Here is a 16,650-nt window from a genome sequence, read left to right as displayed (position 1 = left end):
ACTGAGATGGTTAGGCAGGCCTTTTAAACCTGGGTCAGGAAGAATAAGTAAACAAGGGAGTTTCCACCATAGGAAATGTGTACTTTGAGTAGCAAAGTAACCAGTAAGATAAAGATGACTAACAAAGATTGTGATCTGCATTCAGAGCTGCTGGCCTTCCTGCTTTTCCGGCCAGATGTTTCCCTCTCATTCTTTTATTCTTCTCTCCTTACCTTCTGTTTGCTCCCCTCAGTTTCTCTCTCTCCACCTGACTTTTCTTCCCCAAGTACCCACAAGACTATGTTATTGCCGTCTTTTCCCTTCCTAGGTCATCAGGGAAAAGAGCCTCATATAAATGCATATAAAATATTCTGAATACCTACATATGTATAGCAGGCATTTGCACTTTGATTATCCATACACTCATTCATTCATTAGACGATTACTCAGTCCTGTTCAATACCAAGTCTTAGCTGTCCACCCCCTACCTCCCCAGACATAAGGTATCTACCTTAGGACAGATGTATTTTGGTATTTCCCCAGGGATGTTGGTTTTGGCTAGAAAAGGCCCAAAGTAATATAAATTAGGGCATATGCTTGATAGCTTATCATTGATTATGGATTTAGAGTCTGGTAGAAACCAGGCTTACAAATTACAGCCTTAGGGAAGCCAGCTGTTTGGGAAAACTAGCAAAAACAAAAACTCTCCTGTTGGGGGCTTTTATTGGCCTTTCTGAAATTCTCTCTTTGAGTTCTGGGAAAAACTCAATCACAGGCAGGAACCAAAGAGTGTTTAGCTCTCAGTAGCTCCTCTATGTTCATTGAAGAATTCCCTATAAGCTTGGGAAATGTTTCCAGTGCCAACCCATTAATGAATGGCGCATAGAGTATGAAGAAAGTATGATTATTAAGAATTACATAAGGTTTTCATCATTCTAAGCAAAGTATCACAAGGACAGAAAACCAAACGCCACATGTTCTCACTCATAGGTGGGAGTTGAACAATGAGAACACATGGACACAGGGCGGGGAACATCACAAACCGGGGCCTGCCATGGGGTAGGGGGGTGGGGGGAGGGATAGCATTGGGAGAAATACCTAATGTAAATGACGAGTTGGTGGGTGCAGCAAGCCAACATGGTACATGTATACATATGTAACAAACCTGCATGTTGTGCACATGTACCCTAGAACTTAAAGTATAATAAAAAAGAGAGAGAGAGAATTATATAAGGTTTTGGAACAAAGATGTCCCAAAACATGCCAAGCCAAGACATGGCTTTTGACCAAGAGTGTTATTCCATTCTGTTTATCATATATTCATTAAGTGCCTCCTGGGTACCTAGCATGGCTAAGGTACATTCCTAGCTTTTTGGGTACTTCCAGCCAAGGTGGGGAGTCTAGGCAGGGAAAAATCAGATGATAGATTGCAGCATGATAAGATGGAAATAGCCGTCGATTTGAAATGCCAAGACTGGTTATGGCGATGAGTTTTGCCACTTGTTATCTGTGAAACCTAATATAAAACCCAGTTCAGAACTGTTATAAGGATTCTCTTTGAATATTATGTAAATTAATAAATAGAAAAAAAAACCTTTTTATGGATTTTAGAGAAGAATGCAAGGCAGAGCAGAATTCCTTGTCAAGTTTAATCCAATCCCATGGGATAAGCCAGTGTTTTGCAAACAAGTCGCCACCTATTAGTGGGTCATGAAATCCATGTAATGGGCAGTGAACAGTGTTTCTTATTGTTTTTTTAATATAAAATTGAACAGAATAGAAAATAGAGTGCAGCACATGTAATATGGGTAAATTTTGTTTCAGATAATTTTTGTCTCTATTACACATATTTTGTATACTCTATCGTAATGGGGAAAAGATTTATTACAATGCATCACTTTCAAAAAGTTTGAAAAACGCAGAGGAGACAGCATGCCCTTCCTATTCCAATGTTCCTAAGACTATTTTGATTCAGCCTTGCTACCTGCCTAATGCTTTAATAGTTCAATCCAGTATTGAAACGTATCTCAATTGATCCATTTCTTAGCTCCAAGGGGTAATATCCATAGACATCTTGCTCTCAAGGACCTAGCTACAGAAGGAGGATGGTCAGAAACAATGACAGAATACTAAGAATATTTAAATGTCACACCAGGTAACAATTAATTACTCCTCAGTAACAAAGACATCACAAAGGGGAGATACAGCTGGGATCCTAGAGATTTCCAGGAGGTTCATTCAGAGCAATTCCTAAAGAATTTGGCTCATGGAGAAACAAAAGAGAAAGAGCCAGAGTACAGGACAGAGTCTGAGCCAAGTGGGGAGTGTGGTCTGTCTGTCTGGCCTGTCACTATGCACGGTAACTATAGACCAGGGAAGAGGGAGAGGCAGAAAGTAGAACAATGTAGAAAATCTGTCACCCCAGACTTGCTGTATTTGTATTCTTGATGTACTGTGCTTAGTGTGAACTTTTGCCACTAGGACATTCTTACAGAAACTTGATATCTGCACTGAGGAGTTATCAGTGACACATCTTGCCTGAGTAGCTTGGTGTGGCTCCACTATCAAGACACTGTAAGGCAAGGTGGGTCTCTGGGGCAATATTGAAGGCTCTGTCTGGGTCAGGGGTAAAAGTCATGTCACAGACAGAGAAGAGTAAGGTATGAACCTGATCCTCCAGTTGTCACAGTAAACATCTTAATTAAGGAGTTTCGGGGGGTCCAGGGATGGATTTCAGTAGCTGAGTAACCTCTTGAAGTTCTGTGCAAAATTTTCTGGGCATTTGTAGATTTCTATAAGAGGTCGTTAGCTCTTACCAGATGATCAAAGAGCTCTGTGGTAAAAAAAAAAAAAAAAAAAAAAAAAAAAAAAAAGAAAAAAAAAAAAAAATTTAATGATTAGTTTCCTCCACTGTAATTTTGCCATTCTTGTAGTAAGAAGAATAGTCATATAACCCTGGATGAAAAGGAGGAGAAAATCTTTAGAGTGACAGAATCTACCTTCCATATGGTTTACTGCCCCAATATCAACTAAACAAGTGCTCAGAGCAGATTCTCAGCATCACAGTATCACCACTTCAATGGGATCTAGAAGTACTTTGACCAAATCTGAGGTCCAACTGATTTCCTGAAAAATGCAGTGTCATATGTTACTCCTTATAAGGTGTGTACAAGATTTCCAATTTCCCTCCGACTGCAGCAGCATGTCCAAAAACAAGTAAGTTGAAAACAATTTGTTGTGCAATGCAGTGAATGTCACTTCTGTCATCGGTGTGGAGAGCATAGATCACCCTGTGGTAGATTCTGTCACCATAACTGCTGCTCTTAAAAACATGGAGAGAAAATACTGGGCTGACTCTCTTATCTCCGGCTGGGCCGTCGTGTATTTTTTTTTTTTTTTTTTGAGTTGGCTTATTGCAGTTCAGAGGCTTATCTTTGCTAATTGTATATTTGATCATATTGTGTCTATACAATCTGATTTTTAAAAATTTGCATCTAAGCAGATCTAGCTTTATTCTTTAAAATTATTGGGCTGTTGTGCTTCTCTTTTGTTGTGGGTAAGACAGTTTTGGGGGGCTTGGGGGGTTTTATTTGTTTTAGCCTCAGAATCACCCCATTGCTGGGAACTTAGGGGAAACAATTTACCTAGAGGAATTGTCCTCTAAGTTCCCAAATAACTTCTAAACAATTGTGTAGTCTAAATCCAGATGTATTTATCAGAAGATTAACTGTCGCCTAATTTCCCATTGTGGCTTACCCAAGTCCAACCAAGATTAATTCCATACATAATTTAGAATTGCTTCTTTTTCTTTGTGTAATAATACCTCAACTTAAAAAAAAAAGAAAGCCACACCATGGGCTTGTTTTAATCCTGATTATTTAGGGTAATACATTTCTTACAGATAATTAACATTAGCAAAATTAATTCATTCACTAAATTCAGTGATCTGACAACAAGTGAAAAAGTTGGGCTTTAGAAAAAGTATGTTGTCCTCTATTTATTCTTTTTAATATTCGAAATTGATAACTGTCTCTATCATAATTGATTCATTACTCATTGAGTAATAAAGGATAGGAAAAATTAACAGTTAAGCACACCAGGTGCATTTAGTTATGTAACATTGATTTTGGAGAGTTGTATAAGATTTGTATTTAAAAAGCCTTGATTGGCTGCTCAGATAATAGAAAATAATATCAGCCAGCTTTATGACCAGCGAAAGTCTAACATGACAACTTAAAAACATCCATTTAGTTTATGATGCTGTATTTCAAATATACATTTAGATGATAAGGGGAAAGATGATGAAAGCTGGCATGGTGGCATTTTTCACATAGCTGAGAAATGATAAATATATTCTACCCTTCATAGCTTTATGTTTCATTGTTATTAACTGATTGGTTCTTTTGCTTAAGAAGTGAGCTGGTGGTCCATGTACCAGAGAGTTTAGATTTCCAATTTGAAACTACTTCATTTTTCTAAATCGCAAAGAATTTCGTTAAAATAAAAATTGTATCTCATTACTGAGTCATAAAAAAGAATTAAAAAGTGGACTCTCTGCCTTTTCTCAGAGTATAACAAAGTTTTATAAAGTGTAGAGCTAGAACAAATTTCACAAGACACAATGCAAAAGCATTCTCTATGTTAAGTGTGACCCAACAGATAGTAGAAATTGCTAAAAACCATCTACTGCACTAAGATGTGAAATTTTTTCCTTTGTTATTTAGTAAGTATTTTGTTTTACTTTATTGTAGCAAGAACACTTAACATGAAATCTATTTTCTTACAAATTGTAAGTGTGTAATGCATTATTGCTGATGATAGGCATGATGTTGTACAGCATATATCTAGAGATGATTCATCTTGCCTTACTGAGACTTTGTGCCTGTTGATTAATAACTCCCCATTTTTCCTTTCCCCAAGCCCCTGGCAACCACCATCCCTACCCTGAATCTATGAATTTGACTATTTTATATCCCTCATTAAAAGTAGAATCATGTTGGATTTATCTTTCCATGTCTTGTTTTAATGTCCTCAAAGTTCATCCATGTTGTCACCTATTGTAAAATGTTCTTTTTTTAAAGCTGAATAGTATTCCATGGTTTGCATACATCACATTTTCTTTACCTGCATTCATCTGTCAAGACAATGAACATTTAGGCTGTTTCTACATCTTGGGTATTGGGGAAAATGCTGCAATGAACACAGAAATGCAGATATCTCCTTGAGATCCTGATTTTAGTTCTTCTGGATGAATACCCAGAAGTAGGATTGATGGGTTGTACTGTAGCTCAGTAAATGTTTTTAGATTTGCAAATGAAATATGTGTGTGTGTATTTGTGTTTGTATACAGAACTTTAAAAAAGTGACCTGCAAATAATTCTCCAACTTGTTTTTATTAATCCTTTAAAATACATGCCAGGTAAAAACTATACTCTGAAATATCAACATCCTGTTCAAATCCAACTGTGCACCCAGGAAGCACTCCTATCAATGCTGTGCTTTAATTCAAAGGATGCTCTTTCTATGGAACAACAGACTTACCTTGGATAAGTTTCATTTATCACTTCTTATAGGTAGCTGGGGCTTGAGAAAAAGACAAGTTATAAATGGCCAATGAGAACTGACATGTTTTAGTGTTAGTTAACATCTCTGTCAACCAAGAGGTGATGAAATATTTGTCACCGAAAGTGAGGAAGATAGTTGTGTCCCACACTCAAGACACAGAAGATAGAAAAGATTTGTTCAACAAATTCATTCATTCAGTCATTCAGCAAGCATGTCATATTTGAGATGTTTGTGGGGCATCCAGGTGGAAAGGTTTTGGTGTGCCTGGCACTAAGATGACAAAAATGAAAAGGCGTTGCCTTCAGTTTTAAGATGTTCATAGTAACGGATAGATGGACGGCCAAGTGAACAGTTATAGTAAAATTAGATATTACCACACTGGAAATACATTCAAAGCCCATGGGTAGCATTCGGAGCAGCAACTAAATGTGCCAGGGACATCAGGGAAGGCTAGAGAAGATTTTAATTCTGTTTTTCAAACTAATGGGAAGGAACCATTCCAGGCAGACATAGGCATCATCCTGGACTCAGAGCCGTGAGCGAGCGTGAAATATTCAGGGGACCACACAATGATTTGTGTAGCTGCAACTGGAGCGCAAGGAGACTATTATAATAACACAGGAGAGCCATGTTCACATCTGAGGCAGTAGAGAAGGGTTGGAGGAGATATTTAAAAAGCATACTTCTTAGCCTTAATGATTGATGGGATGCAGTAGTAAAAAAAAAAAAAAGGGGAAAAGACTATGATGACTCTTAGGTTTCCGGCTTGGACATATGAAGGACAGCAGTACCATTTACTAATACAAGGAAGGAACACAGGGAAGAGACTTATTAAGAGTCAAGGGTAGGTGAGATGATGTATTCAGTTTTAAACACTTTGTGTTTAAGATGCCTCCAAGACATCAAATTGGTTGGGTTTGTCCATTATATTTGTTAGGTGAGGAGCTCAGAGAAGGAAACTGAGCTGAAGCTATAAATGTGGAGCTCTCAGCATAGAGGTAGAAGTTGAAGCCACAGAATAGGTGAAATAAAGAGTAACAAGGACAGAGCCCGGGAGAAGACTGATGTTTAAAGAAGAGGGAGAGCAACAGTTGTAAAGCAAGCTGCAAAGGTCCTGCATGCAAGACGGCAGGAGGACTAGCAGAAAGTGATGACATGAAACCCAGTGGAGAGAAGGGCTTCGAGAAGTATGCAATGCACATCAGTGTCAAAAGCTGTAGGCAGGTCAAGCAGGATAAAGATTCAGATGCTGCCCCTGGGTTTGTTCAATGAGCTCTGGCAACATTAATAGGACAGTTTCCACGTTTTTGAGTGATGGAGAGGGCCTATACTGGATTGCATTGAGCTGAGAAGTGAATGGAAGTGAGAAAAATGGAGACAACGTGTGTGATCTACATTTTGGAGAAGTACATTGTGGGAAAATTCAGGAGGAATAAAGAGAGGAGTAGCTAGTGATTCAGGATGAAAAAAATATTTTTAAGGTAGTAGGGATTTGACAAGATTCATACGGAAACAACATAGCATGCTTTATATGCACTGTTCTAATCACTTTATGCATGTTTTCCTAGTTAATCCTCAGAATGACACTGACAGATAATAATGATATTTAATATCTATTGGGTACTTAATGTATGACAGACATTGTTATAAGCACTTTACATTTATTTCTTCACTTAATCCTCACAAGCCTTATGAAGTTAGTGGTATCATCACCCCCACTTTGCAGGTGAGAAAACTGAGGAGCAGAGAAGTAAAGCTGATCTCAAGGGCTTACAGCCAAGTAACAGCAAAATGGAACCAAAAACAGCCAAAATGGAACCAAAGATCTGGTTTCAAAATCTGTGCAGTAACAAGATGGTTCTTATTGACCTTTTAAAGATGAGAAAACGGATTCTAAGAAATTAAACAATTTGCGCCTATTGCCACCCCAATCACTGAGACCTGAAACAGAATGTACACCCAAGCCTAATTCCAATGCTTGGAATGACCATGTTGCCAACAAGCAGAATCTGGAAATAGGAGAGAGAGGGCACAACACGTGAAATAAGATCCTTCAAAAGCAGGAGGGAGAACAACACAGGCAGAGCAATTAGTCTGTTGTCTGAAACACGTCAGCAAATCCAGGAATATACAAATCACAGGATGGAAAGAAACCCTTGGAGGCCAACTTGCTGCCCTCTTAAAACACCACAAGCAGAGCCAGACAGGTAAAAGGTATCTGTCTCTGCCCAGGAAAGAAGTTCCCAGCCCAGGGAGAGGTGGGAAGAGTAATGGAAATAATAAACTATAATTCATAACTTTTTTTTGCTGTCACTCATCACTTGTGACTGCAAAAAGTTCTCAATCCAAATAGAATAGGTTCCTGCCTCCTCATGCAAACACCTCTCTCTGCAGGCTCTCAGAGTACCAAGGAGATATTTACTCCATCATCCTCACCACAAAAAAAAAAAAAAAAAAGGAGAGGAGAGATGCAGGGTTTGATATATCCAGTGGAACTGCCGCTGACAGACAGCATTCCAACTTGACTTTACTCCCAGGAAAGCCGATGTATTATGGCAAGGTGATGTCTCTCCACTCCACCCTAGAATGTGAGATTCAATTGTTTGGCTGTTTACCCAAATACTGGGGGAAAATAAGCTCCTGAATCCTGAATCAGGAGCAAAGAAGATGCATCAGGATTCTAACATTTTCTTCTACTTACTGTTTGCCTTTCTGACTTTTTTGGAGGGCAAGGATAGTGTCATGTATGTCTTTCCTGTGTGGCTAGCACAGCACCGAGGACTCAACAGGACTCAGGACAGGACCAATGAGATGAGATGAGATGAGATGGGATGGGATGGGATGGGATGGCATGGGATGGGATGGGATGGGATGGGATGGGATGAGAAGAGAAGAGAAGAGAAGAGAAGAGAAGAGAAGAGAAGAGAAGAGAAGAGAAGAGAAGAGATGAGATGAGATGAGATGAGATGAGATGAGATGAGATGAGATGAGACGAATGAGAGTCATGAAAAGAGCATATGGCACATAAACACAAGATGATCTTGCATTTTCTAACTGACCTCTTAAAGAAGCTTTATCTTCAAACCTGAAACTAAGTCTGGAGAAACAATAGGAAGTGGGTCCAGAGAAGTGAGTCAATAGGAGTATCAGTCCCCTCTTCCCTCACATCTCACTGGAGGGATGTATCACTCTCCAACTCGTAGGAAGTTTATCATGTGTAACTCAGTGTAATTATGGCTGGATTTTTTGTTCGTTTGTTTGTTTGTTTGTTTTTGAGGCAGGGTCTTGTTCTATCACCCAGGCTGGAGTACAGTGGCATGATTATGACTCATTGCAGCCTCAACATCCCCGGCTCAAGCCCCTCAGTCTCCCCAGGAGCTGGGACTCACAGGTGCATGCCACGATGCCCAGTTTTTTTAAAAAAACGAAACAAAACAAACCCTTTTTTTTTTGTAACTTTTTATCACCCAGGTTGGTCTTGAAATCCTGGGCTCAAGCACTCTTCCTGCCTTGGCCTCCCAAGGTGTTGGGTTTATAAGCATGAGCCACTGCACCTAATTTAAGAATTCTGTCCCTTACCGGGAACTGTCTGTTTATATGCTTCGCCCACGTTTCTGTTGGTATGGAAATAACAGCTTTTTGTGACAGTACTGTGTGCCTAGGAAGTTGTCCCATGATATATAAATATTCTAAGGTTAAACTAGAAGTTGACAACTATCACTTACTAATTAACATTAGACTTTTGAAGTTAGGGATCCTTATGAGGCAGATGGGGTGAAAGGATACCATCTGGCCATCTATGCCTTATGTTATAACTACTCTAATCTGAGGGTAAATATACCAGCCACACTATTCTAAGTTAGAGTGATTTCTGTTCCCCTTGCAACTATCATATATACCCTTTAGCTATAGAGGATCCCCTATTATTATCATCATTATTATCATTCCTCAGCCCTAGGGTTAACAGAGGAGGTAGCAAGCCCAAAATGGGCAAGTCTAGGACTCAAAGAATTGACACTAAAGCTGGTTCTCAAAACGGAGGTCAAGGTCATAATTCAGAGTGTGAAGTGCAGTTGTTTGTTTGCAGGTTTATGCCAAGAGCATTACTTATTTTAGATTAAACCATAGAAAATTGTCAATGTTCAATAATTTGTGACCTACAAAAAATGGCAATGTCATATATGGTTCAAACTAATAGACAGGTGCTGGCATTTTACTTCCAGAGAAAGTCCACCCTGCTTGAAGCAGAGGGCAACAGAAGAGGAGCTAGCAAGGGTTTGGCAGCGCATCAGCCATGGGAGCTCCAGTAAGTGGAGATGTCCTGCAAACCATGATTTGTGCACACGTTACAATGTAACAATAACAACAATGTACACAGCTAATGTTTGTATAAGTCCTTACCTACTTTTGCCAGATGCTGTTAAGCCATGTTAATTCATTTAATTATTATCACAAGAGTAACTTTATAAGGCAGGGCTGCGCTTATTCCCATCTTTAGAGTGAGGAAACTAATGCATAAGAAAGTCAAGTGACTTGCTCAAAATCACATGACTAATAAGTGCCTAAGTAGGGCTCAAGCCCAGGCCAGCTAGTTTCAGATGCCACAGTTCTGAACCATTGTGCTGCACCACTGCTTTCACAGAGACTGCAGCTGCTGAAGTCAAATAATATACAGAGACAAATCTCCAAATTTAAAACCTTTTATTTGGGAAGCAAGAATTCCAATTCAAGGCAAACACGCAGACTCCCTGGTCTTCCCTAGGTCTGAAGAACAAAAAGAGGATTGGGAGTTTTATCAGAAAGAGAAATATCACATACTGTTTTGAAAGAAAACTCTTTGGCACTAAAGAAGCTTTTGGGAGCTGGCAAGCTCTGACTGGTGAGTGACAGTGGTAGGTAAAATTAGTCTTAGAGGCAGGTTGTTTTAGCAGCTACTAGGCAAAACTGGTCTTAGGGTTACACCAGGCTGTTTTAGCAGCCGGGCTTGGAGAAAATTTAATTCTTGGAGCAGGTGCTTTGTGCCCCAAGTGCTTTTTCCCCTTGGCCCCTGGAGTCTTATTTGGTTCAGTATGACAAGAATGACCCAATTTGTCTAATCAACCTTCACATGTTTTAGGACATGGGACTCAGGGGCTCTCTGTGCACAGTGGAACCAGGTTTAGGACAGGAAGACCCGCTACTGGCTTGACTGATTAGTGAGGAAGAGGTGTCTCATGGGCAGATCCTGTGGGCCTTGGTCTCATGGGCTCAGAGCCCAGGTGGGCAGAGCCTAGACTTGAGCCTTCAATGGCCATCTCCACCTAGAGAGGGTTGGGGCAGGCAAGATGGGCACCACCACTCTCTTCTGTATCTTTTCTTACTTCTTGGGACTCTCTTTTCTGTGTTCCTGTTTTCCCTGTCCTACATCTAAGTGTTTTTGTTTCTGCAGGATTCATCTCTCCATATATAAAATTCCTCACTGAATCTTCCTTTTTATGGGGAATCTAGAATCCTTAACCTGGCATACAAAAACCTTGACAGTCCATAAATATATATTGAGAACGTGTGTATAAGTTGAAATCAGACCCTGTAATGGACATCTTTTGAATGGTATGATAGTATGGTTTTAAAAGAGTTGTGATGGTCAGAAAATAATTAATGTAGAATTCAGAGGGTGAGAGGAGGGAGAATAAAAATTAAAGAATCTTGGCCTACTTAATTAAACCCCTATACTTGGGGGATGAGGTAAAGAAGATTATAGGACACTAAGAGACTTCCCCAAGGGCTGAAAGTCCTTTCTCCCTTGTGAGGGTGCCACAGCTAGATCTGGGAGAGTCACAGCCTTGAGAAGGTTTGGAACAACTGATTGGATTAGTGAATGGGAGGGGCATTTTGTCATGTAGTATTCATCTTCAATGAAACTAAAACGTTGAAAGTATTTCCCTACCATAAAAAAATCACAAAATGATGAATTCCAGCTCTGAATTCCTTAACATAAGAAACTCTCTAACAGACTTTATTGTGAGGGTTTACTTTCCATCCCTGACTGGGGGCTGGGGTCCTGGATACTGGTGGCCGGGGCAGCCCTGCTCATCCCCTACACCATTCAGGAAGTTCAAAGGCAACTCAACTTTCAGCCAAAGCATGGATTTTTTTGATTGGATTGCAAATGCTATCCCATAGTTATGCTTTGGATGATTTTTTATAAATTAACTGAGAAGATTATTACTTGTTTTACATAGATGTTAAAGAGATGAAAGGATAGCCTACCTGAAAAAATAATTTGAAAGCTTCAAAGTTTCTGCAGAAACTGCATTGAAGATATAAAGATACAAAATAAGAAGTAAAAGCAAATTTTGTATAAAATAAGAAGTTGGCATTTCCACTAAAAATGTGAAATTCCACCTAGTAAAAAAAGATATAACATGGACATCTTTAGTAAAACACAAATAGCACAAAAATGTCCATTGACCATTCTGCAAGCATCCAAAGGAATGATTTGCAAAATCTCTCAGAGGTTTGGGGTCTTTTGTAAAAACAGTTCATCTTACTTGGCCACCACCCATGACTCCAGCAGCCACTTTATCTCTCTTAAGGTGATATTTGGTCTTATAGTTTGACTATTTATATAGGTCTTGCTAGAAGTAAACTAAAAGAAAAACATTTTGTACTCATCTTGGTATCCTTGGGGAAGAGTCTGAAGTGGATGTTATGTTTGCACACTGGAATGACCCATACCCATAGAAGAAAGGGAACTGAACGTGAAAGGATATATTGGTAGACAAATGATAATAACTAATACTTATGGACTATTAACCAAGTACCAGCACTGTGCCAAGTGCCTTATCTGTATTAACTTATTTAATAAATACAAAACCCTGTCAGGTAGGTATCATTTATTGTGATCTCCTTTTTACAGATAGGGAAACAGAAGCCCAAGGAATTAAATACCATGCCCCAAATGACACAGCTAGTGAGTGGCAGAACTGAAAAGGCCCCTGGCTTCAGAGCTTGAGTTCCTAGCCACGCTGGTAGTCCACATCCTTAAAAAGAAGAGATGCATGAACAAAGGAAGCATCAGTACCTAGCCCTGCATAAATGGTGGGTATCTTCTGGGTCTGTGTAGGATCCACTTGTTCTATAACAAGAGTAAGCTGCTCCATAGATCACCCAGCATGTGGAAGGCCTGCCTTTCTTCTTATTGCTCTATATGGTTACCTAGAACCAAGTCTGGCTAACAGGATGAATTGACTGAACACATAAAAATCTTTAAAGGCCAAGCGTGGTGGCTCACGCCTGTAATCCCAACACTTTGGGAGGCGAAGACAGGTGGATTGCCTGAGCTCAGGAGATTGAGACCAGTCTGATCAACATGGAGAAACCCAATCTCTACTAAAAATACAAAAATTAGCCAGGTGTGGTGGAACCCCAGCTACTCGGAAGGCTGAGGCAGGAGAATCGCTTGAACCCGGGAGGCAGAGGTTGCAGTGAGCCAAGATTGCACCATTGCATTCCAGCCTGGGCAACAAGAGTGAAACTCCATCTCAAAAAAAAAAAAATCTTTAGAAAGGGAAGTTACAAATGTTTCAGCACATCAGCATGAACCTATACATATCTATTTCATACATGATGTAAATACCAAGTTTTCTTAACTAAGCCCATATCTCCTCTTTCCTTCACCATCCAGGATACGGCCAAGGATGCTGAAATTAACCAATACATGCTTTGTCACTGATTTATTGATTGATTGAGAGCTGGAGGCCACAGTGTGTTTGGTTTTGGCTTTTGAGCCCCAGCTTCATTTATAGGTGCTGACGTCAATACCCTATTCTCAGCAATTAATGGAACCAGCAGACAAAATCAGCAAGGATGTAAAGGAACTCAACAACACCCTCAACCAACAAGATCTAATTGCCATTTGTAGAAAACTACACCAAACTCAGCAGAATACGTGCTTTTTCTCAAGTGCCCATGGAATGTTCACCAATACAGACCATCTTCTGTGCCATAAACAAGCCTCAACAAATTTAAAAGATTGAAATCAGACAGTAAATGCTCTGACCATAATGGAGCCAAACTGCTGTTGAGTTCATCACACTCCTCAGACCACCAATATAATTTTTTTGTCTTAGTTTAATATCATTTTTTCCCAAATATGCTATTATTGTGTCTTTCTTTTTAGGCTGGTTGATGTCAATGATGTCACTTTAAAAATCTCATAAATGAATAGCCAAAAATATTTCTTCCAGTACTTTCCTGAAGAAGCCTAATATCTCATGTAAATAAATCTTTTTCTAATTTATAGTTTTTTTTATAGTGTGTTTCTTTCTTGCAAGGGACACCCTTATATCTCTTGTTTCCCAACAAAATCACTCACAGCATCAAAGCCCTGACCTGCCCTTCCTGAGAAGGCCAAGGTTAGCGGCTATGTTATCTCTTGAGCTAAAAGGATTGCTGGCTTGAAGGTGCGTGGGAGTCGATAGCTCTCTGGAGCCTGCCTTTAATCCCCTAGAGATGCGTTTACTCTGCTAGGAGAAAGATAGCCTCCAAAGAGCAAAAGTCAACAAGCTTTATCGTTCTTCTTCCTGGGTTATTCTGCTGCTGCTGAAAGGCTTTATGAGTGTCCTAGGGCAGTAGTTTTCTGGATTTGTCCTACTCCTGGAATGAATGCCACAGGATTTCATGGTTGTGTGGTCACCAGAGTACAGTACCAAATCTGCCAGTGTTGTGCCCTAGAGGCAACCTCCAACCTTTCTCCACTGCCGCACACACCATGACCAAAGCCCATCTCAGGAAGCACTCAGACACTGGGCAGGCCACATTCGAGGCACTCTCAAGACCATTAGGACTACTGTGCCTGGTCAGCTAGTCAGTTGACAGAATCTTATCAAAGATTTTAAAAGCCTTTCTCAGGAAATACCAGAAGTGTAGACCTATTTTTGTTTGCGGTTCCCGTTCAGCTATTAGGGGCTCAGTTCTGCCCCCCAAAATCCATATATTGAAGCCCTAATCCCCCGTGTGATGGTATGAAGAGATGGGGCCTGTGGGAGGTGATTAGGTTTAGATGAGTTTATGAAGGTAGGACCCTCATGATTGAATTAATGCCCTTATAAAAGATGCCAGAGAGCTCTCTCCCCACTCATCCTCCTTCCATGTGAAGATGCAGTGAAAAGGCAGCTGTCTGAAAGCAAAGGAGACAGCCCTCCTTCTGATCTCAGCCTTCTAGCCTTCAGAACTGTGAGAAAATACATTTCTGTTGTTGAAGCTATTTTGTTAAGGCAGCCCGAGCAAAGTAAGGCATGTGTTGAAACCCTAACCCCAAATGCCTCAGAATGTGACTATATTTGCAGATAGGATCTTCAGAGAGGTAACGAGATTAGAGGAGGTTGTTAGGATGAGCCCTAATCTAATATGACTGTTGTCCTTATAAGGAGAGCTTAGGACACAGACATGCACAGAGGGAAGACCACGTATAGATGCAGGGAGAAGATGGCCATCTATAAGCTAAGGAGAGAGGCCTCAAATGAAACCAGCTTTAATCTCATAGAAGTTAAAAGTAGAACAGAGGATACTAGAGGCTGGGAATGATGGGGAACGGGAAGGATAGGGAGAGATTTGTTAAAGGATACAAAATTACAGCAGGATAGATTTTAGTTCAAGTGTTCTATAGCACCTTAGGATGACTACAGGTAACAATAATACGTTACATAGCTTCAAATAGCTAGAAGGAGAATATTGACTGTTCCCAACACAAGGAAATGATCAATGTTTGAGATGATGAATATGCTAATTACCCTAATCTGATTACATTATATGTATCCCATGTAAATGTACTCCATGAATATGCATAATTATTCTGTCAATTTAAAAAGTAAAATTTTAAATTTTAAAACAGTATTTATCTATAAGCTGCTTATCAGAGTTATAAACACATAGAGTAAAATTAAAAGGATAGAAAAAATATAGTCCCGTTTAACTTATGAATATGTGTATACCAAAAAACCTTAAATATTAAAAACCCGAATCCAGGCCAGGCATGGTGGCTCACGCCTGTAATCCCAGCACTTTGGGAGACTGAGGTGGGTGGATCACCTCAGCTCAGGAGTTCGAGACCAGCGTGGCCAACATGGTGAAACCCCATCTCTACTAAAAATACAAAAATTAGTTGGGTGTGATGGCGGTTGCCTGTAATCCCAGCTACTCAGGAGGCTGACGCAGGAGAATTGCTTGAAGCTGGGAGGCAAAGGTTGCAGTGAGCTGAGATTGCACCACTGCACTCCAGCCTGGGTGAGTGAGACACCGTCTCAAAACAAAACAAAAACAACAACAACAACAACAACAAACAACCGAATCCAGCAATGAGGGGGAAAAAAGAAACCAACTCTGCCAGTACCTTAATCTTGAACTTCCAGAATCCGGAGCTGTGAGGAAATCAATGTCTATTGTTTATGCCGCCCAGTCTGTGGTACTTTGTTAAGGCAGCAAAGTAGTGAATTCCACATCTGCCATCATCCCCGTTCATAAAATAACTCAAAAAACCAACGAATTCAGAGGTATTGGGACAACAGATGGCAAGGGTGAGAAAGAGGAGGAAGAATAGGACAGACCACCTTCCTAGTGAGGGTGGAGATTGCAGCTGAGATTTGGTGGTGGGGCGAGAGAAAGAGAGAGAGAGAGAGAGAGAGAGAGCTGTGGAGAGAGAAAGAGAGGAGAAAGGGAGTGAGAGATGGGGGTGAGAAGGAAGCGTTGTCAGGAGGGGAATCAGGCTCAAGACCAGAGCTGACCTGCCCTGAGGATGGGGCCGGTCCTCAGTGAGGCAGGCTCAGAAGCTGCCTGTGCCACCTGACTCTCCCACCTTTCCGCCTCCCTCCTTTCAGGAAGGCTCTTACTTTTCTGACCAGTAAGGGAGCAAATAGCTCATCTGACTTCTCACAAGGAGACACGGCGATGTTATTAATGAAGTGAGAAAGAAGTAATTATCTGGATAATTCAGGCATCCATCACCACTTTCAACTAAATTGTCCAGGCTGAAAAGGTGCAAGAGTCAAGAGGAAAAGAATGATTTTAATTAATTGCCTCAATTTACCATTTTCTATTGGATTTGTTCAAATTAAATGACTGAGCTGG

General features: G+C 40.2%; 2 annotated features.

The window, feature by feature from the left end:
- Positions 1,817–2,605: an enhancer, noted in NCBI's record as "OCT4-NANOG hESC enhancer chr2:21290821-21291609 (GRCh37/hg19 assembly coordinates)". NCBI's record gives its function as "activates a minimal SCP1, AML or CMV promoter by ChIP-STARR-seq in primed H9 embryonic stem cells {active_cell/tissue: H9 hESC(primed)}" and the evidence as "EXISTENCE:reporter gene assay evidence [ECO:0000049][PMID:30033119]".
- Positions 13,883–14,177: a silencer, noted in NCBI's record as "tiled region #5245; K562 Repressive DNase matched - State 9:DNaseU". NCBI's record gives its function as "represses a minimal TATA promoter and a strong SV40 promoter by Sharpr-MPRA in K562 cells {active_cell/tissue: K562}" and the evidence as "EXISTENCE:reporter gene assay evidence [ECO:0000049][PMID:27701403]".

The sequence above is a fragment of the Homo sapiens genome, chromosome 2, assembly GCF_000001405.40.
Source record: "Homo sapiens chromosome 2, GRCh38.p14 Primary Assembly".
Lineage (NCBI taxonomy): Eukaryota > Metazoa > Chordata > Mammalia > Primates > Hominidae > Homo > Homo sapiens.
This window is presented reverse-complemented; position numbering and strand designations above follow the sequence as displayed.